Raw genomic sequence first — 27,318 nt, 5'->3', positions numbered from 1 at the left:
ATTTAACTCTCTTCCCTTTTGTCTGTCCATGAGAATGAGACAAAAACAGGATTCCACAGCCATACCAATCCTGATTAGAAGGATGTAGAAACCATTACACTGCCTGCCACTGGACCAGGAAACTGGGATAATTGTCAGTGTCCTCTTTTGCCCCTACTCTGGGATATTAGATGGCTAAATCACTGTCAATACACCCAGCTGATGAAATGAGGCCCATGGGGCCACCAGAGTTAATATTGGGAATGAATATAGGAACATACACTAACGCCTCCTTTGGTAGACAAGCAGAGTACCAGAGTACCAAGGACCTACTGAAATAGCTCAGGCTTTTTCTTCGAAAAGAGAAAAGGCAGAGCATGTGCAAAGGCCTGCTATTTCTGGCCAGTTTCCTCACTTAAACTATAGAGTAACATCAATATTCATGATGCTGAGGAAGGTTAAGTGGATCTATTTTCTCTTCTATAGTTTGGATCATCTACTTCTTCCTCACCCTGACACTATTTAAAAAACCTTCAGATATAGATATCTATATACCTATATCTATTAGGTGCATTAATTTGTGACATACTCCCAGATTTAAAGAGAAAAGTGTCAGAGGGGGGGAAAAAGTACAGAAGCACAAGTTTATATTTATTTAATGCTAAGAACACAGATATTCTAAAGAGATAAACAGAAAGTAGTTTTATTTTTTCTAAATAGGATTTTGATCACAAAAATGCTGGTGATTCAAACCTTTAAAACAGAAGAGCATACAACCTAAGAAAAATGCAAAACAGGCTACAAACCTGTACATCATGTTACTGCACTGAATACTGTAGGCAACTGTAACATAATGGTATTTGTATCTAAACACAGAAAAGGTATAGTAAAAATACAGTATTATAATCTTATGAGACTGCCAACATATACGTGGTCTGTCATTGACCAAAACATCATTATGTAGTGCATGACTATTAAAATTGTGCAAAACAAACCCCTGTATCCATAGTGTTTAAACCATAAAACCAATACCTGGTATATACATGACAAAACAAAGCATGTAAAATAATATGCAGCCTAAAGAATTCAAAGACAACAAAGGTGACAAAGTCAGGTAAAAGAAAGGCAATTAGGGACATAAGATATTTTTTAAAGCAGGAAGCTGATGATGTCCACTGTAAGCCTGGAAGAAACCAGGAGTCTGAACACGGAGCAGTTACTGATAGGAAGGATAAAGTGCTACATCTCTAACAGCAAGCAAATTAACTCTGCTGAAATTGCCAGAATGAAGGCCAAGGTGGTTTTCAGTAAAGAGTGTTCTCCTTGACAGCATAGCCAGCATGTGGTTGAGCCGGGACCTGATACCAGCGAAGTGGAATTGCCGCTCTTTGTTCAAGTTTCTAAGTGAGTCACTCAAGTACAGTTCCAGGTGGGGGGTGCCCAGGTACTTGGGATAGCCAGGATTGTGGAAGTCAGTGGTTCTGATGGAAGCGGGAGAACCAGTGGAGCTTGCCACAGAGCCTTGGGAAGACACAGAGGAGGAAGACTTCAAACTGGAAGATCTCGATACAGACATTTTTGAGACTGGTGACCCTTCTGTAGATTGAGTTCCTCGAGGAAAGAGAATGTTCTCATCCATGTCAGTCTGAGTAGTGGTCGATCTGGACCAAATCGTGGTTTGAGAGCTTGCTATCCTGGTGATGACTGCAGTCTGGGTACCAGCACATGCTGTGGTGATGCTGGTTTGTGTTCCCACCTCACTCACACTCAGCCCTGGCATCTCCTCTCCTGGCTCTGTTTGAGTGGCAGCGTCAATGGCCTTTCTGCTCTGGAGCTCGTCCCTGTGGCTGCTGAAGTAGTCTTCCTCACTAACAGTAGAGGACTCACAGTCATGGGGCTTGCGCTCTGCCTTGCCCTCTGCGGGCATCTCTGGGTCCAGGTCCGCCTTCCTGGGAGTACTTGACAGCCTAGCCAGCCGCATCCGCAGCAGGTTGCCCAGGGTGAGCTCCTTGGACTGTGGTTTTCGGTTGGTGAGGTGATCAAACTTGTTGCTGCTCTGGAAGTGAGACAGGAGTTTGGGGCTGATGGGCTTGGACTGGGCATACAGGATTCGGAACTCCAGATCAAAGTGTTCAACCACTTGGCCAGACAGAATTACCAAGTTACTGCTGTTTAATTTGCCATCCGTCCATGTAAAACTTAAAGATTAAAAAGAAACAAACAGCAGCTGGTAAGGATGAGCAATTTTGTTTTACTCACTGTCCATCTGAATAATATAGTACAGGTATCTTACCACATAAGGGTCACAAATTTGGTGATATCATACCTACCATTTGCATGTATTTAACTAGCCTTAACACATATATAACATTTATGTGTGTTACCATAAAAGTAAAAAGGCCAACTGTTTAACAAACACACTAAATGCTCAGCCTCAGAGGGTTTTTTTGTTTGTTTGTTTGTTTTGAGACGGGGTCTTGCTATGTTGCTCAGGCTGGTCTTGAACTCCTCGGCTCAGGCAGTCCTCCCACCTCATCCTTCCAAAGTGCTAGGATTACAGGTGTGAGCCACCTCACCTGGTCCTTGCCTCAGAGTTTTTAAAAACTGGAAAGGGGGCCAGGCGCGGTGGCTCATGACTGTAATCCCAGCACTTTGAGAGGATGAAGTGGGCAGATCCTTTGAGGTCAGGAGTTCAAGACCAACCTGGCCAACATGGTGAAACCCTGTCTCCAGTAAAAACACATAAAAAATTAGCCAGGCGTGGTGGTGCATGACTGTAATCCTAGCTACTCGGGAGGCTGAGGTGGGAGGATTGTTTGAACCCCGGAGGCAGAGGTTGCGGTAAGCTGAGGTCACACCACTGCACATTCCATGACTGGGCGAGATTCCATGACTGGGCGAGACTCCATCTCAAAAAATTAATTAAAAATAAAAAATAGGGCTTCTAAATATTTAGGCCAGCATCCCCATTTTAAAGGTAAGAAAACTATTTAGGCCAGCACCCCCATCTTAAAGGTAAGGAAACCAGATAAAGGGATTATCACAGAGGGGAGCTACTGCTGGACTCCAGATCAGACCCTAGGCCCTATGAATTGCTAATGCCCTGCTCCTTGCTACTGTTTGAGTGGCAACATCAGTGGCCTTCCTGCCCTCAAGCTTGTCCTTGTGGCTGCTGAAGTAGTCTTCCTCACTAACAGTGGAGGACCCACAGTCATGGGGCTGTGCTGCCATTTTCACAAAACACCATGGCTCAAAACATTTTAGAGCTGATTAGTGGCCATGTGCCCTTGCCTGTACGGTGTCCCTTCCCCGCCTCCCTCCTCTGCTAGCAGAACTCACACCCACCTGTACCCCAGAAAGCTTTCATTATCATACTCTCTCCAACCACAATAGGGGCAGGCATGTGGTCCACACTGGCCAGAGTATCCTATTCCCTTGGATGCAGGGATTCATTCAGGGTGGGCATGTGATCCCACCAGAGCCAAGTAAGTTTTCAGAGATTTCTTTTTTCTTTATCAAATGGATTCTGACAGAAGGGATTGATAGTAATTCTGAGTGAAAGAGTTTCACCCTTTGGGAGACAGCTACTAAAGGCCATATAAGAAAGCCAGGATCTGGCTGGGCACGGTGGCTCATGCCTATCATCCCAGCACTTTGGGAGGCCAAGGTGGCCGGATCACAAGGTCAGGAGATTGAGACCATCCCGGCTAACATAGTGAAACCCCATCTCTACTAAAAATACAAAAAAAAGTTAGCTGGGCGTGGTGGCGGGCGCCTGTAGTCCCAGCTACTCGGGAGGCTGAGGCAGGAGAATGACGTAAACGCAGGAGGCGGAACTTGGCAGTGAGCCGAGATCGTCCACTGCATTCCGGCCTGGGCAAGACTCTTTGTCTCAAAAACAAAAAATAAACAAAGCCAGGATCGTTGACTTCAAAGGGAGAGCCTGCCTAAGAACAAAAGTCAACTCGAAAACATCAGAACCAGGATATAGTGTTCTGATCAGCGTGTGGCTCCTACGTCAAGATGAACTGAAAACCAACTGTACCTTTCTATGCTTCCTTCCGGGTTCTTCGAGTCAGTACGTTTGAGAGTTAGCTGACACTTGCCATCACCCCACTAATGGTGGTATTTGTACCAGAAGTAGGTTTCAAACAGAGATCATAGAACACAGTCAACTCTGTCTCCTGTAACCAAGATATGGCTAATGCAAAGTCCCCCTGAAAACTGCCTTCAAAGCCTGAGAAGGAAGATTCTTTTGAAAGCCTTCAATGAGGCTGGGCCGGGCGCAGTGGCTCACACCTGTAACCCCAGCACTTTGGTAGGCCGAGGCCAGCGGATCACCTGAGGTCAGGAGTCTGAGACCATCCTGGCCAACGTGGCGAAACACCATCTCTACTAAAAATACAAAAATTAGCCAGTCATGGTGGCATGCCTGTAGTCCCAGCTACTCGGGAGGCTGAGGCACAGGAATCGCTTGAATCTGAGAGGCAGAAGTTGAAATGAGCTAAGATGGCGCCACTGCACTCCAGCCTGAGCAACAGAGCAAGACTCCATCACGAAAAAAAAAAAAAAGAAAGCCTTCAATGAGATAATGTAAATAAAGCACCTATCCAACACCAAGATTATAAAACCTCCTCAACAAATGGAAGCTATCATCGTCATCAATTTCATTTGGAGAGGGTAGTTTTTATATTTTAGAACAGCAAAAGTCCATTTGTAGCTAAGTTTGGTTAATATAGATAAATCCTACTTAGGTTAAAAACAAATTTTTTTAATAAACTTCTTACAAAAGGAAATTCCAAGAAAAAGAGTTCAATTTGTTTTTTCCCACAGCCTCTTTGGTGAAGAAAGTTCAAATTTTGTTCTGAGCAATGAGGGTACTGTTGAAAAAGAAAGGTGTCAAGATTTTCTTGATCTTACTGCCTCATTTTCCACAAGCCTTCACATTTCTACCTTTACCCAGGGCTGACACGTAATTATCACTCAGGGTTGTGTGTTTCTTCAAAAATGGGGTTTTCTTTTTAAAATTCTACAGACACACCTCATGCAAACCATCAGACAATCTACCGCAGAGGCGGCAGAACATACAACCATTGGAGCCACATATGTACAAATGGCACAAATTCTAGAGATTCATGTAAACCGCTCATTATCCCCACCCTCTCTTCAACCTTCCTGCTCTCTACCTTAAGATGCCATTGCCAATGTGACACTTCAAAGGTGGGTCAGAAACATAATCAGTATTTTCTAGACTAAAGCTCTAAATTACAAGGCTTGAAGCAACGTGGAGGATTTGAGTCTAAAGCTGACAGCTCTGGCTCTGCCTTCAACACTAATGGAGATGCCTGCAACTGCCCCTACCTTCAAGTGAGCAGGGCAAGCTGGGTCCAGATCCCTAAGGAACCAGGATTCCAGACTGTGTGTTGCTGTTAACCCCCAGTTCGTCCCCTGCAGACCTGGGCCAAGGCTTGAAATCTAGGACTTGCTGACTGTGTTGTCTCAATACAAGTTCAACTTCTGCATTTTAATCTATGGACTACAGGACAGGGGAAGTGACCCCCACCCAAACTGCCTCTAACAGGAGGCTTTGATAACCAGCTGCTATACACAGATGCACGCATATCAGAATGCATGGCCATACAGGCTCCCATTGAGAGGAAAAGGCTTTTACCTTTACATGACATGCTTCTTCTGAAGAGTTTAGATTAATAAGCCTTGGACGGGTTAGAGACTTACCTGTAGGAGCCTGTTGCCACGCGGATGCCATCAATCAACGTGAACTTTTCGTGAACCTTCCCAATAATCTTAGTTCCTGACCTTGCATAGTAGATATTTCCTGTGATAGTCCGAACTGTCATTAACTGTTGGCAGGGAGTGGGAGAAATATAAATGAACAATTCAGCAATACTCATCTGCTGAGCAAATGGTTAGGACAAAAAGCCTTAGTTTACAATTCCCAGATATAATTATTGGCATATGCGTGGCTTAGGGTCACCATTTAGTGACAGTATACATGGTACACTAGCCAGACAGTTCTCAAGCCTCAAGTGATGTTACTTCTACATTTGGTCCATCTTCTCATCTGTTCTTTTCTTATATTTACTTTTGAGACCCTTAGTTCATGCGTGTATGTGTTCTAAAAGAACACTCAACCTTTTTGGGATACTAAACAACAGAATCCAAGAAATGATTCTGAAGCAAAATGTGTGGGATAAAATCATCAAAGAAAACATGCTAGTAATAAAGAACATTTTAGCAAAGTCTGAAAGAAGGTAAGCTGATCTTCCTCCAACTTGTTTGTTTAATGGCATCACATTAGAGTAACAGTCCATCCTCACTCACCCTCAACACCATAATGGGTATGGAGAATAGGAACACAGGACAGGCCTTCTCTAGTACAGGCCTGCTGAGGCAGAAACACTCATATCACATGTGGCTTAACAAGCAATGTCACATCTCCTACAAATACATAATTACCAAAAACGTACACTGGTAGTGGTATGCTGGGGCAATATACTGCACATGTATGCATAATTATTCCTGTAAAATGACACACATAAATGTATAAACAATGGCATACAAAATACTACAACAATCTGCATTCTCTGGAGCAGACCAGTGGCTCTATATCGTTAGAAATCTTACACATTTAAATTAAACGTGTAAGATTTTTGTTTGACTCATTGATTCCATAAACATAGAGAGCCCCTACTATGTGCCAAGCCGTGAGACAACAGAGATGTAAGGCATGCTCCTTACCTTCAAGGACTAGAATAAGAGAGAGAAAACTAATTGATTTAGAAACTACAGTAACACATAACAGCATCCAGAGAAATGAAAACCTATATCCACACAAAACCTCTACACATGTTCACAGCAACTTTATTCATAACAGACAAAAACTGGAAATATCCAAATGTCCTTCAGTGGCTGAATGGTATAAGATACCATACAATACTCAGCAATGAAAAGGAACAAACTGTTGATACGTGCACATCTTGGATGGATTTCAAAAGCACTGTGATGAGAGAAAAAAAGCAAATCTTGAAAGGTCACATACTGTATAATTCCATTTACAAAATAGACTGTAAACGACAAAATTATAGAAATAGAGAACAAATTAGTGGTTGCTAGGGGTTAAAGTGAGGGGAGTGATGTGACTATATAAAGGAGCAGGAGGAGGGAGATCTTTGTGGTGATGGAAACTTCTGTCTGGATATGCATGCATGACGATAACATGGCACAAAGCTGTATACAATGTCAATTTCCAGGTTTTGACATTGTACCATAAGTTACATAAGATGTAACATTTGGGGAAACTGGGTGAAGGGTACATGAAACTTTTCTGTACAATCTTTGCAACTTCTGTTAATCTATCAATATTCAAAATAAGCTAAAAATAAAACACAAAACTATGGCAAGACATAATGCTACTTCTGTGGTCTTCTTACCAAATGCGTAATCTGAATTTAACTTTGATAAAACATCAGACAAACCCAAATTCTACAAAAAATTGTTTTTTTTTTTTTTTTTTTTTTTGAGGTGGAGTCTCACTCTGGAGTGCAGTAGCACAATCTCGGCTCACTGCAACCTCCATCTCCCAGGTTCAAGCAATTCTCCTGCCTCAGCCTCCCGAGTAGCTAAGACTACAGGCACCTGCCATCATGCCTGGTTAATTGTTTTGTATTTTTAGTAGAGACGGGGTTTCGCCATATTGGCCAAGCTGGTCTCAAACTCCTGACCTCAGGTGATCTGCCCACCTCAACCTCCCAAAGTGCTGGGATTACAGGCGTGAGCCACTGCACCCAGCTAGCTAGTATTCTTTAAAGGTGTCAAGATCCAGCCGGGCGCAGTGCCAAATGTCTGTCGTTCCAGCTACTTGGGAGGCTGGTTGATGCAAGAGGATCAATTGAGTCCAGGAGTTCAAGACCAGCCTAGGCAACATAGCGAGACCTTATCTCTTAAAAAAAAAAACGGGGGGTGGGGTGGTGGGGGGGGGGTGGGGGCAGGTCAAGACCCTAAAAGACAAAGAAAGATGGAGAAACTGTTCCAGATTAAATCACATGAAGGAGACTTGACAACTAAATGTAAGGTGTGATCCTGGACTGGATTGGATCCTGGACCATAAAAAAGGGCATTAGTGGAACGACCGGGAAATGTATAAGTCTGTAAATTAGATAGTATTGATATCAAGTTTATTTCCTGATTTTGTTATTTGTACTGAGGTTTGTAAGATGTTAACATGTGGAGAACTTGGGTGAAGAGTATTCAGGAATTTCTTATATTATTTTTGTAACTTCTTTATAAATCTTAAATTATTTCAAAATAAAAATTAAAAAAAGAAAAACGACTAGGGAATGTCATAGAGGTACACCTGGACTTGGTGGGAGGAGAGCTTCCTGGAGGAGGTGATGACCCCTGAGCCAAGTCTTAAAGGATCAACATATAATAAGCATAAGAATACCATTATGGGCAGATTAGGTGTGGTTTTCTGTATCTTTCCCTTTGACACACATCTGAATGTTGCATATGCCTCTGTGATCGTGGCCAAAGCACTTGTGAGCGCCTGCACATCAATGTGTGACCAAGTTCCTACAGACAGCACAACCCAACATTCTGAACCAGCTACAGAGGCAGAGCATGGGGACATCAGCCCCCATACAGCAAGGGGCACAAATTCACTAGCACAGAGAGGAACAGGAGACACAAGCAACCAGGGAAGACAGTGCTTCCCCAGGAAGGAGGTAAAACTACAAAAACTGGGGAGGCCAGAGAAATAGGCCTTTTTTTTTTTTTTTGAGACAGAGTCTCTCTCTGTTGCCCAGGCTGGAGTGCAGTGGCGCGATCTCGGCTCACTGCAACCTCTGCCTCCCGGGTTCAAGCGATTCTCCTTCCTCAGCCTCCCAAGTAGCTGGGACTACAGGCGTGTGCCACCAGGCCTGGCTAATTTTTTATATTTTTAGTAGAGACGCGGTTTCACCGTGTTAGCCAGGGTGGTCTCGATCTCCTGACCTCGTGATCCACCCGCCTCGGCCTCCCAAAGTGCTGGGATTACAGGCGTAAGCCACCGCGCCCGGCCAGAAATAGGCCTTCTTAAACCCCCCTGCAGAGGATCTGGACACCTATGAAGGCAACAACCAACAGTAGGCAACTGAACCGGTGCCTGCTCATAGATTTCTGTCTAGTAGATAAATAGAGAAAATCACTTGACCAAAGTTGTGGCCAGAACAATTCTGTGATTTCTCTGCTAATGCATAGCCTTAATTATAGAAAGAGTACCTTGAAATTAAACACTGATACCTTCCATTTCTTTACCTGGCTAGCTGATAATGCTCTTTTCCATGCCAAAGTGTATCTTCCTTGGGTCCACCTGGACTCATTTTCTAACCACCTGTTGGGTTACATGGCTGTCTCATCTCAATTGGTCTAGAAACCCCAATCCTGTCTTTATCATGAGGCAACCAACAAGAACTCTGTGGGAGAATCTGAATTCTGTAAACCAAATTGCTTGGTAATAATAAGGTGGTAAGTTAGAGTCTCTTAGGCAGTAACTTATAGTACCAAAGACTAAATTCGTTTTGCTGACTGCTTTATATCTAGTACCCAGTGCATAATAGATACTCATACAGGTGATGAACAAATAAAGTTCTGAAGCTCACAGGTTAAGATGCTTAATTTTTACACTTGATCTTAGCCAAAAGGCTGAGAAGCCATGGGTTGCTTAATTTTTAAAAAACAAATTCTGGGCCGGATATGGTGGCTTATGCCTGTAATCCCAGCAATTTGGGAGGCCGAGGCGGGTGGATCAGTTGAGGTCAGGAGTTTGAGACCAGCCTGACCAACATGGTGAAACCCTGTCTCTATTAAAAATACAAAAAATTAGTCGGGTGTGGTGGTGGGCACCTGTAATCCCAGCTACTCAGGAGGCTGAGGCAGAAGAATCGCTTGAACCCGGGAGGCAGAAGTTGCAGTGAGCTGAGATCGTGCCACTGCACTCCAGCCTGGGCAACAAGAGCAAAATTCCATCTCAAAAAAACACAACAACAACAAAAAAACAAATTCTGTAATAAATATGACAATTTTTCTTTCTTCTTTCCATGAAAGTGACCAAGCTAGCTATGTTGTATAGGCTTCCACTGAAACACTTAGGTCATTTTCAGAATCAGAGAAATAGACATAAAATCTAATTTTACAATAATGAGAAATGAACAGCAGCAGCATGTAATAGTGATTACAGACACTGGGGTTGGAGGCAGACATACAAGGAGGCAGACCCTAGGCCCACTACTTTGAAGTGGTGGACACTTGGATTCTCTGTGTCACTATTTCCTGGTCTAAAACACAGGTGCCACTTACCTGATAGGGGCTGCTTTGAGGATTCAGTTACATAACATTTGTTAAAAGCACAGAGCAGGCTGGGCATGGGGCCTCATGCCTGTAATCCCAGCACTTTGGGAGGCCGAGGCAGGCAGATCATCTGAGGTAGGAGTTCAAGACCAGCCTGGACAACATGGCAAAACCCCATCTGTACTAAAAATACAAAAATTAGCCAGGTGTGGTGGTACGCACCTGTAATCCCAGCTAACTGGGAGGCTGAGGCAGGATAATCTCTTGAACCTGGGAGAGGGATGTTGCAGTGAGCCTAGATTGGGCCACTGTACTCCAGCCTGGGCAACAGAGTGAGACTCTATCTCAGGAAAAAAAAAAAAAAAGCATGGAGCAGTGCCAAAGACAGAGTGGGGGCTCAAAAAATACTGGTTGCTGTGATTAAAAGGGCAGCCTCCTGGAGCTACTGTCAAAAGCAGCAACTTCCAGGGTGGCCTTCAGGCCTTCAACAAGGGAGCTGGTCCAGGCTCTATTAAGAGGCAGGACAGTACAGGGGAGAGGCCAAGGTCTTGAATCCTAACATTTCTTTTAAAGAGCTTAACTGAGATCTAATTCACAGATCATACAATTAACACAAATTCTGTAGTTTTTAGTATATCCACAGATATATGCAACCATCATCACCGTTAGTCAATTTTAGGACATTCTCATCAGTTTAAAAAGAAAGTGCTAAAATAAAGTACCCTTTAGCAATAATCCCGTCCTTCCCCCAACTCCCCAGCCCTAGGCAACCACTAATCAATGTCTCTATAGATTTCCCTATTCTGACTTAATGGAATCATATCATATGTGGTCTTTTGTGACCGGTTTCCTTCACTTAGCACGTTTGCAGGTTCATCCATGCTGTAGCATGTATCAGCACTTCATTCCTTTTTATAGGTGAATAGTATGCTATTGTATGAATAGACAACATATCATTTATCCACTTATCAGTTGATTGGCATTGGATTGTTTCCACTCTTTGGCTTTATGAATAATGCTTCTATAAAACTCACACATAAATTTTTGTGGGGGCCCATATTTTCATTTCTCTTGGGTAGACACCTAGGAGAATTGCCAGGTCACAGGTACTGTTTGTTTTCTGTAAGACCAGGCAAATGACTTTGCTCACAGCCTCAGTCCCTTCCTTGTAAACAGGGATACCGCCACCAGCCAGCTTGTAGATAATGGATGCTTGGTCATATTTGTTGACTATGGTGAAACTGGATATAGTGTACCACAAACCTTTTCCTGTTCAGGATGAACTTTCAGATCCATGCACATATCCAGAAATTGAGAGAGGAGAGCCTGGTCCAGAAGGATATACACAGCAACTCCCTGTTTCCTGCATATTTCTTGCAGGTCTCTGAAGATGTCGATGTCTGTGAACACGTCCATGACCACTGCAATCACCTACAGGTGAAACAGGGAAGAGCACATGATAAGCTTATAGGACACCACCTTACAGCACGCTCTCTGGACTCTGGACTCCACTCAGAACTGGGAAATGATCCCTATCCAACAGTTATCCTTCCCTCCCCCTTCTGCAGTGTTGGTGCCCCCCTCACCATGGACTCTTTTGCATCTCCAAAGACACTTGGGCCCCGTGTCCTAGAAATCTTGACTTGGCCTAGCTAACACTCCCAACTCCATGCTGGGAGGTTTCTCAAAAATACAGATCAATCCACTGCCTTGCTCTCTTATGAACCTGCTCCATTCACCTTCTATTCCTCCACTAAACTCCTGTCTTACAGGCTTATTCAGATCAGCAAGCTGTCTGGTTCTGTGGGTAACACACTGTCATCTTTGGCTTGTTGCTTTCCCCACCAGGCTTCAGTTTGCTGTCCGTTAAACAAGTAAATAAAACCTCAGATTCTCTCTGAGGGCCCTTCTGGAGGGTAGCATTCTCGAAATCTATTTTTTAAATTATTGTCTGGTTTTGAATCATAATCTCTGACTTTTTTAAGGCCTGTCCCATTCACCACCAACTCATGACTCGAAAGCAATCGAAGCAGGCCCATGGATTCTCCCTTCTTCTGCCTCCCTAACACTGCATACCATATTTGTTAACATTCTGTTCTTTCTACCAGCCAGGCCTGATCAGCTGTCTGTTGGGCAGGTTCTAACCAAATGACTTCCACTGCACTGGCCTCTCCTCAGTAAAAGGTTCTCTCTGCAGTTCTTTGGTATCCGTCCATAGTGCAAGCCCACAGCAAAGAACAGGGAAATATTTCCTAAGGATTCTGCCCTTAAGCTCAGAACAGGCCTTTCTTCTCCCCAACAACATGGCTCCATTCATGCCTCCCAAGTGATTTTCCACACCTAGCATCAGACTACAATTAAGAGCTACCTTTTAGCCATGCATTCCTGGGCAAATTACAGCTGTTTCAAATGTCTGTTTCCTTAGCTGCAAAATAGGGTTGTATCGAGAACTAAATGACTATGTTACATAAAGTGCAAGGTACAAAGGATCCCTTAGTATCTGCTCGTTTATTCACTTTACCAGTCCAGAGCTGGAGCCGTCCAGACAGTTCAACACAGGGAGACACCGCCTAGCTTTCCTCGCTCTTTTAAAGACAGGCTGCTCCTGCCACAATGCCTCTAATCACACCTTTTGCAGGCTTAAAACCAAGGTCCTCAGCAAACTCCTGGCAGGGCAGTGGGGGTGTCCAAACCTCCAGGCTTAGAAACAGGTCCTGACAAACTGAGTCAGAAGTTGGGGGTGTTAACTAAGGAAGCCGAGGCTTGGGGGCTCTTCTGTAGTCTGGAGATATAAGGGTTTCTCCTTCCTCCCCATTTCCACAGTAAAAGCCTGTCTCTCAGAATCACATTAACTCTTTTTCTGAAAGTTAGGATTATTCATTTATGGGTTTCACTCCTTCTCCTGCAGCAAAGGCTCTTGAATGGGATTGAGTCATTTCTGTGGTCCCAGAGGACTTAGGACAGTATATGACAGTCATGACTCCTTAAGGATTTGGGGGATTAAAGAAGGAATGAAGAGGCAAAAAGGCAATTTGGCTGTCTTTCTCCAACACTCCAGGGCCTGGTCTACTAGGATGTGAGACCCTGAAACACCAGTTCCTGGGAAGTCATTGCTGTGAGGGGGTTGAGAAGACCAGTTACTCTCCTGCTGCCTTTCCCACCCCACCCCTTTTAATGATGGTCTAAGCTGTGGGCTATTCTTGGTAAAGGGCATGGCTGAAACCCACTGAACACAGTGATTTAAAAAATGAGAAGCGTTCTTTCTGAATTTGTGGCATCCTCTGAAGTTTACATCCTCCACTGGCTTTACACATCCTATTTTGACAGTTCTATTCATCCCACTCATTCGGGTCATACAACAGGAATTAAAGGCAAAAGTTCTGGGCATAGAACCCAGCTCTACCACCTACCAGCTGTGTGACCCTGGGCAAGTGGCTTAATCTCTCTGAGCCTCAGTTTCCTCCTCAGGAAGACAAAATTAATAGCATCTGGGTCAAAGGGCTGCTGTGAGGATTAAGTGAAACAAAGCATGGAAAGGGCTTAGCACAGGGAGGGCAAGGCAGGAAACAGGTGCTATTATGCAGCCAGCACCTCCTCAGAGCACGCTGTGGGCTGCACACTGCACTAGGCAGAAAGATGGCTATGAGGAATTTGACATAGACCCAACTTACCTCAAGGAGAGGACACAGGATGCAGAGAGGCAAAATGATATATACAGCCTAAGCAATTAAACTAAGGGGGCCGGGCATGATGGCTCATGCCTGTAATCCCAGTGCTTTGGGAGGCCGAGGTGGGTGGATTACCTGAGGTCAGGAGTTTGAGAGCAGCCCGGCCAACACGGTAAAACCCCATCTCTACTAAAAATACAAAAAATTAGATGAACATGGTGGCATGCACCTGTCATCCCAGCTACTAGGAAGGCTGAGGTACAAGAATCACTTGACCCTGGGAGGTGAAGGTTGCAGTGAACCGAGATCGCACCACTGCACTCCAGCCTGGGCAACAGAGCAAGACTCCATCTCAAAAAACAAAACAAAACAAAACAAAACAAAAACAAGGTGTCTCCTCCAGTGGTGGACTATGGGCACTATAGGTACTCAAATGCTTACCAGATAAGAGCAGGGAAGGCTTCCTGGAGGAGATGGCATTTGAGCTGAAGCACAAGGACAAAATTTGGACAAGGGCATGGGAGAAGTGAAGGGAGGAGAAGGCATTCCCGCAGGAAGCCACATGATAACAGAGGAAGAGGTAGGGCATGACGGGGTATGTACCAGTCTGGCTGGAACGTACAGCATGCATGAAAGGGAGCCACGGGACATGACTGGAAAAGACGGATGAATGAGCAAGATCACAGAAGGCCCTGAATGCCAACCAAGGAATCAGTTTCAATCTTCCCCACATTGCCTGTATAAGAGTAATGAGTTCGAAGTGAAGAATCCAACAGGATGGAAGAAACTGATGCCAGAAGAGATTGGTATAGGTCAGAGATCTGGGCCCACCTCCTCCAACACAGGACCTGCAACACAGCAGTCACGTGGATATTCTTTAGGTTAAGCAACTTCAATAAATGTTTAGGAGGACTAGAGACCAGATGAAGACAAATCAGTAGCACGGCAGAAGCAATGAGGGTTGCAGAAGAGGGAAGGAGATCATGGGAGAGCCGAGCAGTGGGCGACATGGGCTGAGGATGACAGGGAGAGGGATATTCAGATACAAGGAAACAGGAAACACAAGACAAGAAGCAAGAGTGAGGGGTGAGCTTCGAAACGGATTTTGAGGTGGCAGTAAAACCTTCAAAAAGAGGTTTGGAATATGCAGGTGTACAAATGAGAGTAGAGCTCACAGGAGAAAGCTAAAGAGGAAAATGCACACACCTGCTTGCCTCTCTGATTTCCCACTCTTCTTTCAAATCTTCATTGTGGACCCAATCGAGGCAGGCAGGTGTTGAGCACTGAGGATCTAGTGTCAATCCCTGTCCTCAAGAACGCAGTCTAATGAGACAGGAGACAAGCCAGGGGTAACAGAGTGTGACGGGCCAAAGGACACGTTCCCTCAGTGCTACTGGAACAGAGATCAGAAAAACCCAGCCCAGCTGCTGGATTAGAGACCTGCTGGAGGCAGGGGCATGGGCCTGGGGGCCCACAGCACAAGGCACGGCCAAGCTGAATTTTGATTCACCACTTAACAAAACAATTGTGCAACACCTTTGTTATATGGTGAGTAAATACCTAATTTGCTATTTGTTCCATTGTTTGGTTTTAAAGCCTCACCCTTTCCTGTGCGTTGGATTTGAACACTAGTCCTTAACACCATCAGGGTGCGTAGGGTTGATGGAGGTTTTTTTCTTCCCCTGACTTCCCCTACACCCAGCATCCACTCCTTTCTTACTAAAGCAGGACTCTTAAAAATATTCGTCTATTTTTTTGTTTCTGGAGATGCAGTTTCACCCTGTCGCCCAGGCTGGAGTGCAGTGGTGTGATCTCGGCTCACTGCAACCTCCGCCTCTGAAGCACAAGCAATCCTCCCACCTCAGCCTTCCAAGTAGCTGGGACTACAGGCACACGCCACCACACCTGGCTAATTTTTGTAGACACAGAATCCCACCATGTTGCCCAGGATGGTCTCCAACTTCTGAGCTTAAGTGATCCACCCACCTTGGCCTCCCAAAGTGCAGAGATTACAGGCATGAGCCACCATGCCCAGCCAAAAGTACTTGTCTTTTACAGAGGAAAAGTCCATAGTCCTACTGTAGAAGCAATCAGTAGGGAAGTCTTCCTTCAAATCCCCATCCCCATCCCCCATTCCTGTGTCCCAGCCCTCATGCAACCAATCCCTGCATAGCTGAAGTAGACCTGGGGCTAGACTGAAGGGACACTCTCTTCACTGAGCTGAGCAATGACCTGGACTCATCCACTAACCGGCCGAGTCCTGCTTTCCAAGCCAGGATGCAACTCCTAGGTATCCGGTGCTCTTGCTGCAGCCTGTGGGTCCAGAAATACACCTGATGTGTATTTGGCCACTGCTCCCACTCCTGGAGGCAATAATGTGCGAAGGACAATGGCATGTCTGGAAGGCAGGCAGCCCTTGCACATCAAGTGCCCACAGTCATGGCACTCTCCCAGTCTGTGCTGCATGGAGCCCACCCACTCTCTAAGGACTAGAAAGTCGTGAGAGTGGTGACTTTCAAGAGTCCCTTCCAGGGTCAACACCCATTTGCAATTTGCAACTCAGTGCAAGTCAGTTACAACAGGAGACGTGAGGAGGACGCATCCAGCTGGTCAGGGGCATAATGGCCGGCCTGCTGACCAGGACCCCACTGTTCCTGCACTTCTCCAGCCATATCTGGAGCAGCTGCATGTGTGTCCACTCTCACATCATCATCTCAGGTAACAAATCACAAGCCTACCTCTCTCAGTCCTTCTACCTGTCCCCTCCTGATTTGTACCAAGGGACTTGGGAACCTATGTAGTTGAACAGCAGACGTCATGATGGCCTTCTTGGTCTCTGGGAAGGTCACAGACCCTGTTTATGTTACTTGCCACATAGAACTGAACTCTTTTCTGCTTGCCTTCTTGCACAAAAGCTCAAAAGTGCTATCTAGAAATTTCAAAACCCCATTACCTGTCATCCCCAATTTATAGATGAGAAAGCCAAAGCTTGGAGAGGTTAGGTAGCTTGTTCAAGGTGACAAACTTAAACAAGTACAAGGGCTGGAATTTCAACCCAGGTCTCTGTGACTCCGGAGCCATCTAAAAAAAGTACTATACTCAGTATTTTATATCATTCCAACCAAGTTTAATGGGCAGTTTTTCACATGACTGGAAGCTTAGAACAAACACTAAAGGATCAGTGGCGTAGCCCATGAAGTGCATGGGCTCAAGCTCACCACGGATGATTGACAGTACCTATCTCATAGTGTTTGCTGGCAGTTCCTGGCATATGGAAAGCCCTTAAATGGCAGCTACTCATATTCTTAGTCCCGATTCCGTCACTATCCCTGGACAAGCCATTCCATCTGAGTCTCGGTGTCCTTGAAACAAGGAACCCTTCCAGCTCTGCGAAGTCAGTGATTCATACACACTCAATGGGCAGGTCTAGGCTCTGACCAGGCACATGTGCAGCCCCAACAGGCCCCTCAGGGCCAGTCATTCCAGTTCTCATTCTAGCTCTTCTTCCTCTGTGTGAAGGAGGAAGTTCGTACCGATCACCCCTTCTCACTGCACCTCAGTTTCCCTCCCTTCCCTCCCAGAGTCATAAAGTGAGGTCAGGTGTGCAACATGCTTGGAATTCCACCAAAGATCTGCACCCACTCAATGTCAGCCTGTGCTGTGGTCAATAACATCCTGGCTGCTGCATTCTCCCAGCTGACCACATGGCCTCCATTGACCCTTCACTTCCTCTCCTAACTCTCTCAGGACCCTCTTGCTAAAAAAGCAAAAGATATATTTTCTCTCCATGTATTACATGTTTTAATAGAACAGAAATAATCTCCTTGGGATTTTGTCAAAAACCTTTAAGTAACTATCTTGACATCTTTGGGGTTTAAAAACAAAAAAGAATGTAAATTCCCACAGCGAAACCTAAACTTGCTTGTGTGCACTGTTCTCCCTCTGTTTCAGAGGCTATTATCAAATTAACAATTTAGGCCCGGCACGGTGGCTCACATCTGTAATCCCAATACTTTAGGAGGCTAAGGTGGGAGGATCACTTGAGGCCAGGAGTTTGAGACCACTCTGGGCAACACAGTTGACATCCTGTCTCCAGAAAAAATTTTTTTAATTATCTGGGCGTGGTGGCATGTGCCTTTAAGTCCCAGTTACTCGGGAGTCTGAGGCAGGAGGATTACTTGAGCCTGGGAGGTCGAGGCTGCAGTGAGTCATGATTGCACCACTGCACTCTAGCCTGGGCAACAGAATGAGAACTTGTCTCAAACAAACAAACAAGCAACCAAATAAAACAATTTAAGTATTAGATGAAAGTGCTGGCAGGGCCACCAGAGGGTGGCAGGAGCAAAGTTTTCACTGATCTCTGGAGGGACTGACCACTATTCAGTACTCTGTACTATTCCAGCATGAAGTACACAAGCAGGTGGGCTTTTCAAAGGGGAGGGAAAAGCACCAAGAAGTTAGGGGGTAGGGGGAGGAGGGCTTATCATTTTGAATTGTTTTTATTTTATAAGTATGTAAAACATTTGCCTAGTTCCAAAATCCAATTTACAAAACAAGGTACTTTCAAAGATACTTAGTTTCCATCCTTGTCCCTCCTCCCCATTGAGATAATATTTCCAATAGTTTTTTGTATATTCTTCCATTTTTTCAATATAAACAAGTATACACAGGTGTATATAAACATATTTGTTTTATATAAACATGTGTATTATGTATATAACTATGTATATGTGCTTATATCCCCCTATAGGTAAAAGGTAGCATGGAATACTACACATTGTTCTAGACTAGCGTGGCCCAATAGAACCTTCCAAGATGACAGAACTGAATCTTTATTTAATTTTAATCCATATAAATTTTAATAGCCTCATATGGCTACTACACTGGTCAGTACCATTCTAGATACCGCATATCAGAGCTAGTCCTCATTCCTTCTTAGAGCTACAGGATGTTCCACTGCAGAGACGAATCGGTTCATTCACAATGATGAACTCATCCTCTACTGACGAACACCTGAACTCTTTCCTGTGTTTTGCTATTATAATTAGTGTTGCAACGCATGGCCTATTGTCTACAACTATTCATATTTTTGCCAATATATCAAGATACAGAGAAGTGGAAGTGGTAGATCAATGGGTAAATATAACTGAAATTTTGCTAGATATTGCCAAATTCCCTTCCAGAGGTTATATCATTTGCATCAAGAATTTTTTTTTTTTTTTTTTTTTGAGACGGAGTTTCACTCTTGTTGCCCAGGCCGGAGTGCAATGGCACGATCTTGGCTCATCACAACCTCCACCTCCCAGGTTCAAGCTATTCTCCTGCCTCGGCCTCCCAAGTAGCCAGGATTACAGGCATGTACCACCACAACCAGCTAATTTTGTATTTTTAGTAGAGACCGGGTTCAAGATTTTTTTAAGCCAATATATCCACTACATTTTTGGGTTTTGCTTGCTTTTTTCCTGAAGTAACATACCTTCTATCCATAAAGAAGTCAGAGAAGAATTCTGCAGCTTCATTACTGTCTGCTAGACGCTAAGGGAAAAGAATAAAGAAATGGCAGACAGAGGCCAGGCATGGTAGCTCACGCCTGTAATCTCAGCACTTTGGGAGGCCGAGGAGGGCAGATCACGACGTCAGGAGCTTGAGACCATGCTGGCCGACATGGTGAAACCCTGTTTCTACTAAAATACAAAAAAATTAGCCGGGCGTGGTAGCGGGCACCTGTAGTCCCAGCTACTTGGGAGGCTGAGGCAGGGGAATCGCTTGAACCCGGGAGGCAGAAGTTGCAGTGAGCTGAGATGGTGCCACTGCACTCCAGCCTGGCGACAGAGCGAGACTCTCAAAAAAAAAAAAAGAAAGAAAGAAATGGCAGACAGAAAGTAGAATGGTGGTTGCCGGGGCCAGGAAAGGAGGGTATGAAGAGCTAGTGTTTAATGGGTACAGAGGTTCACTTTGGGAAGCTGAAACAGCTCTGGAGATTCGGCTAGTGACAGCTGCACAACAGTGTGAATGTATTTAATGCCACTGAACTGTACACTTACAAATGGTTAAAATGGTAAATTTTGCTACGTATTTTTTACCACAATATTTTTAAAGAGAAATGGCTAAATTCTAAAATCCTTAACCTGACACATGAAATCAAAAGGAAGGGATAAATAGTAGCAACACTTCAGTCCAGTGGGTAATGTCCCATAATGATGCACTAGTGAGAACTTCTAGGCCAGTGGTTCACAACTGGAGGGCGATTTTGCCCCCACAGGGCATTTAGCAATGTCTGGAGACATTTTTTTATTGTGGTAAAATAGATAAGTTTGCCATCTTAATAATTTTTAAGTGTACAATTCAGTGGCAATAATTACATTCACAACCATCACTACCATCTGTTTCTAAAACTTTTTCATAGCCCCAAACAGAAACTCTGTGCCCATTCATCAGTAACTCACTATTTCCCACTCTGGAGACACTGAATATCATGACTACCTGGTGTGAGGGATGCTATTGGCATCGAGTGAATGGGGGCCATGGATGCTACTCAACGTCCTACAATGTACAAGACAGCCCCTCAGGACAAAGAATTATCCAACCCAAAAGGTCAACAGTGCTGAGGGTGAGAAGCCCTGCTTGGGGCTGACATGAGCATTTGGAACAGAAACTGATCACACCACACAGGCTCTACTGTAATGCAGAGGAAAGTTGTGCAAGAACAGGAAAGCCTTCATTCAGATACATCCAAGTAAATGCCAGGGGCCCCCAACAGATTCCTAAGCTGCTACTCCTCCTGGCAGGGCTCTCTGGGAACGCAATGATCCCCACTACTAACGCTCAGGTTATCAAGAGGATGCCCGAGGGTGAGGTCATAGCAAAAGTGGCCTCTTTGGAACAAAAGAGAATAGGCACTGGTAAGAAACGTGACTCTGAGGAATTGGAACCTCGTGGTGGTACCAGCTTTGCCTCTGAACTCTCATTCAACAAACCAGGAATAGCCGGACAGCCAATTCATAAGCACATTGCCAAAATGAGGCTATGTAGCCCTTCCAGGCAGGCGGCCACAGCCCAGCCAAATCCCAGTTCACACAGCAACAGAGGCAAAAAGCTGAATGCGTCATCAACAGATACAGTGGTGGAGGGGTGGATCTACAGCAAGTATGTAGGGAAAATATCCTGTATAATTCAAGATTATCCAAAAACTTGCTTAGGAAACAAACATATGGGTTCTCAAAAGGTTCAAAACAGTATTTCCTCCAATTTTGGTGAAGCTCGCCTGAGCACCTGGTAAGCAGCCAGCTTGTATTCAAGCCATGCTATACGTAATTGTGTTTTTATTTATTTTTTAGAAACAGGGTCTTGCCCTGTCACCCAAGCTGGAGTGCACTGGCATGATCATAGCTTACTACAGCCTCCAACTCCTGGGCTCAAGTAATCCTCCTGCCTCAGCCTGCTGAGTAGCTGGAACTACAGGCACATGCCACCACACCCGGCTAATTTTTTAACTTTTTGTAGAGATGGGATCTCGCTATGTTGCCCAGGCTGGTCTCAAACTCCTGGCCTCAAGGAATCCTCCAGCCTTGACCTCCCAAAACACTGGGATTACAGGCATGAGCCACCGCGCATGGCCAAACCATTTGTTTTTAAACACTGTACCTCATTCAGTGTGGCAGAATGCCCACACTTTGAAAGGTATATAGAAACAAGAGTCAAGGAAGGGGCTGGCAGATTCACAAACCCCAGGCACAGCCACCCAGGGACAAATACTTGCTGAGTGGAAAGGCAGACAGAATCACCTGAACTACTTTTCTTCCTATCTACCGCTCCCTTCCCCCTGCCCTTTATTTCTCCTCAAAGCATGTAGCTGAATGAGCAAAGGTGCACATAATAGGCCCCTACAGTATTTACTGAGCATCTTTTATGTATCAGACACACTGAGTGATTCTGTGTGGTCAGAGAGCTGCTGGATAAAACCTATCCCAGAACCAGCGCTTCAGGCTGCAAAGCCAGGATTAGGCCCTACCATTTACCAAGTAACCCTGGCTTCCTGTGCCTATACTCTGGTCAAGGAGCCTCGTATCCTGGCTCCTTCCAGAGACATTCCTGAAGATGCAGGGTGGTCCTCAGACCACCTCAGTGAAGGCAGATAAAGCTGCATGGAGCGAACACTGAGGTTCGACCGTGCTCTACTGCAGCCTGGCCCCAACCTCTGGGGTTAAGTGGGACCCTTCATGTGGCATTCAAAGTTCCTTCATTCACCCACCAAAAGATTCTCACAGATCCCTCTGCTCCAGGTACCAGAAACATCTATCTGGCTCTATCTTTCCCAGGGAGAGGAAAACACACTCTAGTTTACAAAACCTAAACTCAGAGACCTATGTTCTCCTGGCATCATGAACCACCTTCCCCACTTGATGGGTTGAGGAGGTTCTCTGCCAGCCTTAATGCCTCCTACTCTAAAAACTGACCACCTCGTTTTCTTCCTGAAAAGGACAGGTCTAGTCATTGTCATTTTCCTGTTTATAGAATACGCAACATGGAAATTAAAAAGTCCCAATCTTCAACTGTTACAAACCTTCAGCCTGTTGAAAACTACCAAAGCTCCAATCCTTCCTCATGGCAGGGAGGCTGTATGCAGCAGGGATTAGGAGTGTGGGCTTCAGTGGCCGGGCACAGCGGCTCACGCCTGTAATCCCAGCACTTTGGGAGGCCAAGGCAGGTGAATCACTTGAGCCCAGGAGTTCAACACCAGCCTGGGCAACATGGCGAAACCCATCTCTACTAAAAACACAAAAATTGGCCGGGCGCAGTGGCTCACGCCTGTAATCCCAGCATTTTGGGAGGCTGAGGCAGGCAGATCGCGAGGTCAGGAGATCAAGACCAGCCTGGCCAACATGGCGAAACCCCATCTCTACTAAAAATACAAAAATTAGTGGAGGGTGCCTGTAATCCCAGCTACTTGGGAGGCTGAGGTAGGAGAATCGCTTGAACCTGGGAGGCAGAGGTTACTGAGAGCTGAGACTGTGCCACTGCACTCCAGCCTGGGCCAAAAGAGCAACTCTGTCTCCAAAAAAAAAAAGAAAAAATTAGCTGGGCATGGTGGTGTGCTCCTGTAATCCCAGCTACTCGGGAGGCTGAGTCAGGAGAGTCACTTGAATCCAGGAGGTGGAGGTTGCAGTGAGCTAAGATCATGCCACTGCACTCCAGCGTGGGTGACAGAGCAAGACTCTGTCTTAAAAAAAATAATAACAAACAACAAAAAAAAAACACTTGAGCTTCAGAGCTGGAACTAGACAGACTTGGGCTTGAGCCCAGCTCTGTCCCATGCTAACTGTGTGATCTCAGGCAAGTTACTTAACTTCTCTGTGCCTGGTCTTTTCTTAATTGTAGCCTCCTCCCAGTGTTGGGAGGGTTAAATGAGGTAATTCAGGTCAAGGGTTTAGCACAGAAACTGACCCATTCAAAGTGCTCAATCATATCACCATTAGGTACCTTTGCTATCAGAACACGGATGCAGAACAGCTTCTCATTTCATCCTGAAAGCAGCCTGAGACCTACACCTTCATGGTCCTCGCTGTCACAGGTACTAGATTTCAAAGGATGTGGTCAAGGTGACACAGCCACTCCCTTGTCCACAATGCATGCCCATAAATAGTAGTAGCTCTTAGCTAGCCACCAGATCTGCTGTCACCTCTCCCCACCTGAGCACAGGCTCCTGAACCCTCCACAGGGAGTGTGGTGGTTAACAGTGGTTCAGACATTCTGTGCCTCAATTTGAGTACAGGCTCCTTCATTCTCTAGCTGCATGACTTCGGGGCCACTTAACTTCTCTATGCCTCAGTTCTATCAGCTGTAAAATGAAGATGATAATCGCACCTTCCTTGGGATCACCTAGAACAGTGCCTGGCAAACAGAAAGCATTACTTTTTTTTTTTTTTTTTTTAAAGAGACAGGGTCTCCCCGTGTTGCCCAGGCTGGAGTGCAGTAGCCATTCACAGCGTAGTCATAGTGTACTACAGCCTCAAACTCCTGGGCTCAAATGATCCTCCTGCCTCAGCCTCCTGAGTAGCTGGGACTACAGGCACATGATACCATGGCCTGGCTTTTTTTTTTTTTTTTAAACAAAAGAGATTGTCTTTGGGACCTCAAATTCAGCACTGTCTCAAACCCAACTCATTTCAGCATCCCTTACCCCAGCTTCCTCTCCTACCACTAACCCGCTGTGGGGAATTTGGCTGCCCCCAAACATTCCAGGTCCTTAAACACTTGTGGGCCAGCCCCCATACCCTAGGTCTGGCAAGCCCCACCCAGCTCTGAGGTCACTGCCACTCCGGAGACTTTCTTTCTTTAGCCCTTTCCGCAGTACCTGCAGCAAACTCCTCACTGTTTCCCATCAGCACACTGTCCACTCTCAAGTGTTGGCAAGGATGATGCCTTCCCCTGTGGCCCCAGCCATGGTAGTGTCTGATACACAGCAGGCAATGAGTAAGCAAATAATTTGGCATCTATCGGACACACTGAAAATACTCATTGGATTTTTTTTTTTTTTTTTTTCCGAGAGGGAGTCTTGCTCTGTCGCCCAGAGCTGGAGTCCAGTGGTGTGATCTCAGCTCACTACAACCTCCACCTCCCAGGTTCAAGCAATTCTCCTGCCTCAGCCTCCCAAGTAGCTGGGATTACAGGCACGCACCACCACGTCCAGCTAATTTTTGTATTTTTAGTAGAGACGGGGTTTCACGATGTTGGCCAGGCTGGTCTCGAACTCCTGACCTCGTGATCTGCCTGCCTCAGCCTCCCAAAGTGCTGGGATTACAGGCTTGAGCCACTGTGCCCAGCCAATACTCATTGGATTTAAAGGTAATGTACCACCTTTCTCAGTTAAAACTGCCCAGGTTCCAAATACAGCATCTCGGAGGGAACTGTGGGTAGCTAGACTAGGGCAGCAGGTTCTATCTGGAAATGTCAGTATTACAAAATGCCCGTGAGATGAGGGAGAGTCTGAGCTCCTGGCTCCATCCCCTCCTCACGCCAGCACGTGAGTTTAATAGTTTCCCTCTGGCCTCTAGTTCCAGTGCCCTTTTGCTATCACTAAAATTTGGGGCTGGGCAAAAGACTAGAACAATCCACAGCTCTCACTATACAGACCAGTTCTTTACATTTTTCAGGTTCCAAGTGCTCAAGTTCTACTGGACATGAGCTTTGGGGATGCATACCTACACAAGTCTGCCTTTTCCATCTTTTTAATCTTTTCACTGAACCCGCAAGGAAAATGTCTGCTGCATCAAAAAACCCTCAGTCCACCCAAAGCACCTCAGGGCTGGTAAGAGCCTAGCTGCAGCCCACAACCACTCCCTCAAAGGCAAGGCACTAGGTCACTGTATCCACTACCACTGAAACCCCACCAGTCAGGGAAAGAACATTAAGAACATTGGTGAGAGTCGGGGCTTGGACATGTCAACCTGACAATGCACTGGTATCTTCACCCACACTCAGACACACTCAGGTACCAGCCCTAACAAGTCTTAACATGGCTGGGGCTTTATCTGCCATGTCCCTGGCACAGGCAGATAGCCAGGGAGCTGGGCACTGCCAGTCAGCAAGCAACCTGACCATGGCTCCAGACCAAGGTGTCTGCCACGACACTCTATGTGCCACACCCACCTGCAGGCTGCCTTCTTCCTCCTTGATCCCCAGCACCCTGCTGCAGCTTTATCGAGGCTGGCAAGCAGACAAGACCTCCATTGCACCCATGACCATGCCATACTAAGAGTCAGACAGTAGGACCAAAACCCACTATGAATACAGAAGCCGATCTAATGCAAATGTATCTGCATTTTAGGAGACCACTGCAATCTGGCACAGACCCAGCCTATGGAAAACAAACCCCTTGCCCCAGTTTCCCCTCCAGTCTCTGGCAGTAGAAAAAGCGGCAGGGGGCCGGGTGCGGTGGCTCACGCCTGTAATCCTAGCACTTTGGGAGGCCGAGGCGGGTGGATCACCTGAGGTCAGGAGTTCGAGACCAGCTTGGCCAACATGGAGAAACCCCGTCTCTACTAAAAATACAAAAATTAGCCGGGCGTGGTGGCGGGCACCGGTAATCCCAGCTACTTGGGAGGCTGAGGCAGGAGAGTCACTTGAACCCGGGGGACGGAGGTTGCAGTGAACTGAGATCCCACCACTTCACTCCAGCCTGGGCAAAAGAGAATCTGTCTCAAAAAAAAAAAAAAAAAAAAAAGACAAGAAAGAAAAAGCGGCAGGGCTCTCACTTTGCCACTCTCGTGTTTATCTGCTTTTTACAGCAAAAGATGCATGAAAGTAATTAGCAATAATAATTGCTTCCTAATGCCCCGTAGTTGTCTCTGGAGACCATCTTTCTGGAACTTTCCCTGCGTAAGTTCTTTGGTAATGAGTCTCCTAAGAAGCTCCTGAAAGTGGGATCTAGCGTTGGCTGACAGACAGGGAAATAGGCAATTTTCCAAGTTTGATTTTAACTGAAATTTGGAACTCAGAGTACTTCTGGTCCCTCCTTCAGGGATATGAACGTTAGGAGATGGAACCCGGGCACAATTCGCATCCTTGGGAACCGAGGCTTTCCCACTATCCCCTGCCACGAGGAGCGGCCCGGGGGATCCGGGGGAGACACGCAGAGTGGGGTGTGAGTCGGAGACCCTGGGACCACCTAGCCCGCGCGCGCTTCCGGTAGGGCGCAGAGGAGGTAGTGGCCCCGGCCCGTACTCCCAGCAGGCCTCAATTTCCCATTCTTGAAGGGGGTCTCCCGTGCGACCCAGGGCCCTGGAGGGCCGCTCACCTCTCGCGCCGAGCGGAGCTGCTGGCGCAGAGCGTCCTTGCAGCCGTAGGGGCCACCTTCGCCAGCGCCGCGGGGCTGGAAGTGCGTCTCGACACGCGTGGCGCCGCGGTAGGCGCCCTGGTAGAAGGCGGGCCAGCCAAGCTCCAACAGCGGTGGCTCCAGGTCCGACTGCTCGGGGAAGTAGGTGCCCGAAGAGCAGTCGTGCGAGGAGCCGAACGAGTCCTCGGCCGCCGCCGCCGCCGCCGCGCCCTCCTCTCCCGGCCTCTCCGCCGCGCGCAGAATGGCGTGCACCTCATCGGGGTTCAGGAAACGAGCCAGGCGCTCGCGTCGCAGGAAGGCCGCGAAGGCTTCGGGGCCGCCCGCCACCAGCTCCTCCAGAGCCAGGCGCCGTGACTCGCTGAACAGCTCGGTCGGGTTGGGCGGCCCGCACGGCGACAGGCAGGCGGCGGGCACCTCGTCCAGGCCCTCGGACAGCAGAGCCATGGCGGCGCTCGGACTCGACAGCCCTCGGACAAAAACCGGCGTGCA

General features: G+C 46.3%; 1 protein-coding gene across 1 annotated transcript, besides 2 other annotated features; it reads right to left on the bottom strand.

Moving 5' to 3' along the window:
• Positions 1-609: 609 nt before the first annotated feature.
• On the bottom strand, positions 610-27,299 carry FAM83D (family with sequence similarity 83 member D). Its single transcript, NM_030919.3, has 4 exons — positions 26,791-27,299; positions 11,590-11,757; positions 5,716-5,840; positions 610-2,177 (listed from the first exon to the last, which is right to left on the bottom strand). Exons 1-4 carry the CDS (start codon positions 27,271-27,273, stop codon positions 1,196-1,198), a joined length of 1,758 nt encoding a protein of 585 aa, NP_112181.3. The 5' UTR covers positions 27,274-27,299; the 3' UTR covers positions 610-1,195.
• Positions 25,637-25,726: an enhancer, noted in NCBI's record as "active region_17876". NCBI's record gives its function as "activates an Ori minimal core promoter by ATAC-STARR-seq in GM12878 lymphoblastoid cells {active_cell/tissue: GM12878}" and the evidence as "EXISTENCE:reporter gene assay evidence [ECO:0000049][PMID:35858748]".
• Positions 27,112-27,211: an enhancer, noted in NCBI's record as "active region_17875". NCBI's record gives its function as "activates an Ori minimal core promoter by ATAC-STARR-seq in GM12878 lymphoblastoid cells {active_cell/tissue: GM12878}" and the evidence as "EXISTENCE:reporter gene assay evidence [ECO:0000049][PMID:35858748]".

The sequence above is a fragment of the Homo sapiens genome, chromosome 20 (genome assembly GCF_000001405.40).
Source record: "Homo sapiens chromosome 20, GRCh38.p14 Primary Assembly".
Lineage (NCBI taxonomy): Eukaryota > Metazoa > Chordata > Mammalia > Primates > Hominidae > Homo > Homo sapiens.
This window is presented reverse-complemented; position numbering and strand designations above follow the sequence as displayed.

What these genes read in the sequence shown, in the direction of transcription:
- FAM83D (NM_030919.3), bottom strand. Translation starts at nt 27,273, where the DNA reads ATGGCTCTGCTGTCCGAGGGCCTGGACGAGGTGCCCGCCGCCTGCCTG. An exon ending in AGCTCCGCTCGGCGCGAGAG is followed by an intron (nt 11,758 to 26,790) that starts GTGAGCGGCCCT and finishes TTTCACCTGTAG; the next exon opens with GTGATTGCAGTGGTCATGGA. An exon ending in GTGGCAACAGGCTCCTACAG is followed by an intron (nt 2,178 to 5,715) that starts GTAAGTCTCTAA and finishes TTAATCTTTAAG; the next exon opens with TTTTACATGGACGGATGGCA.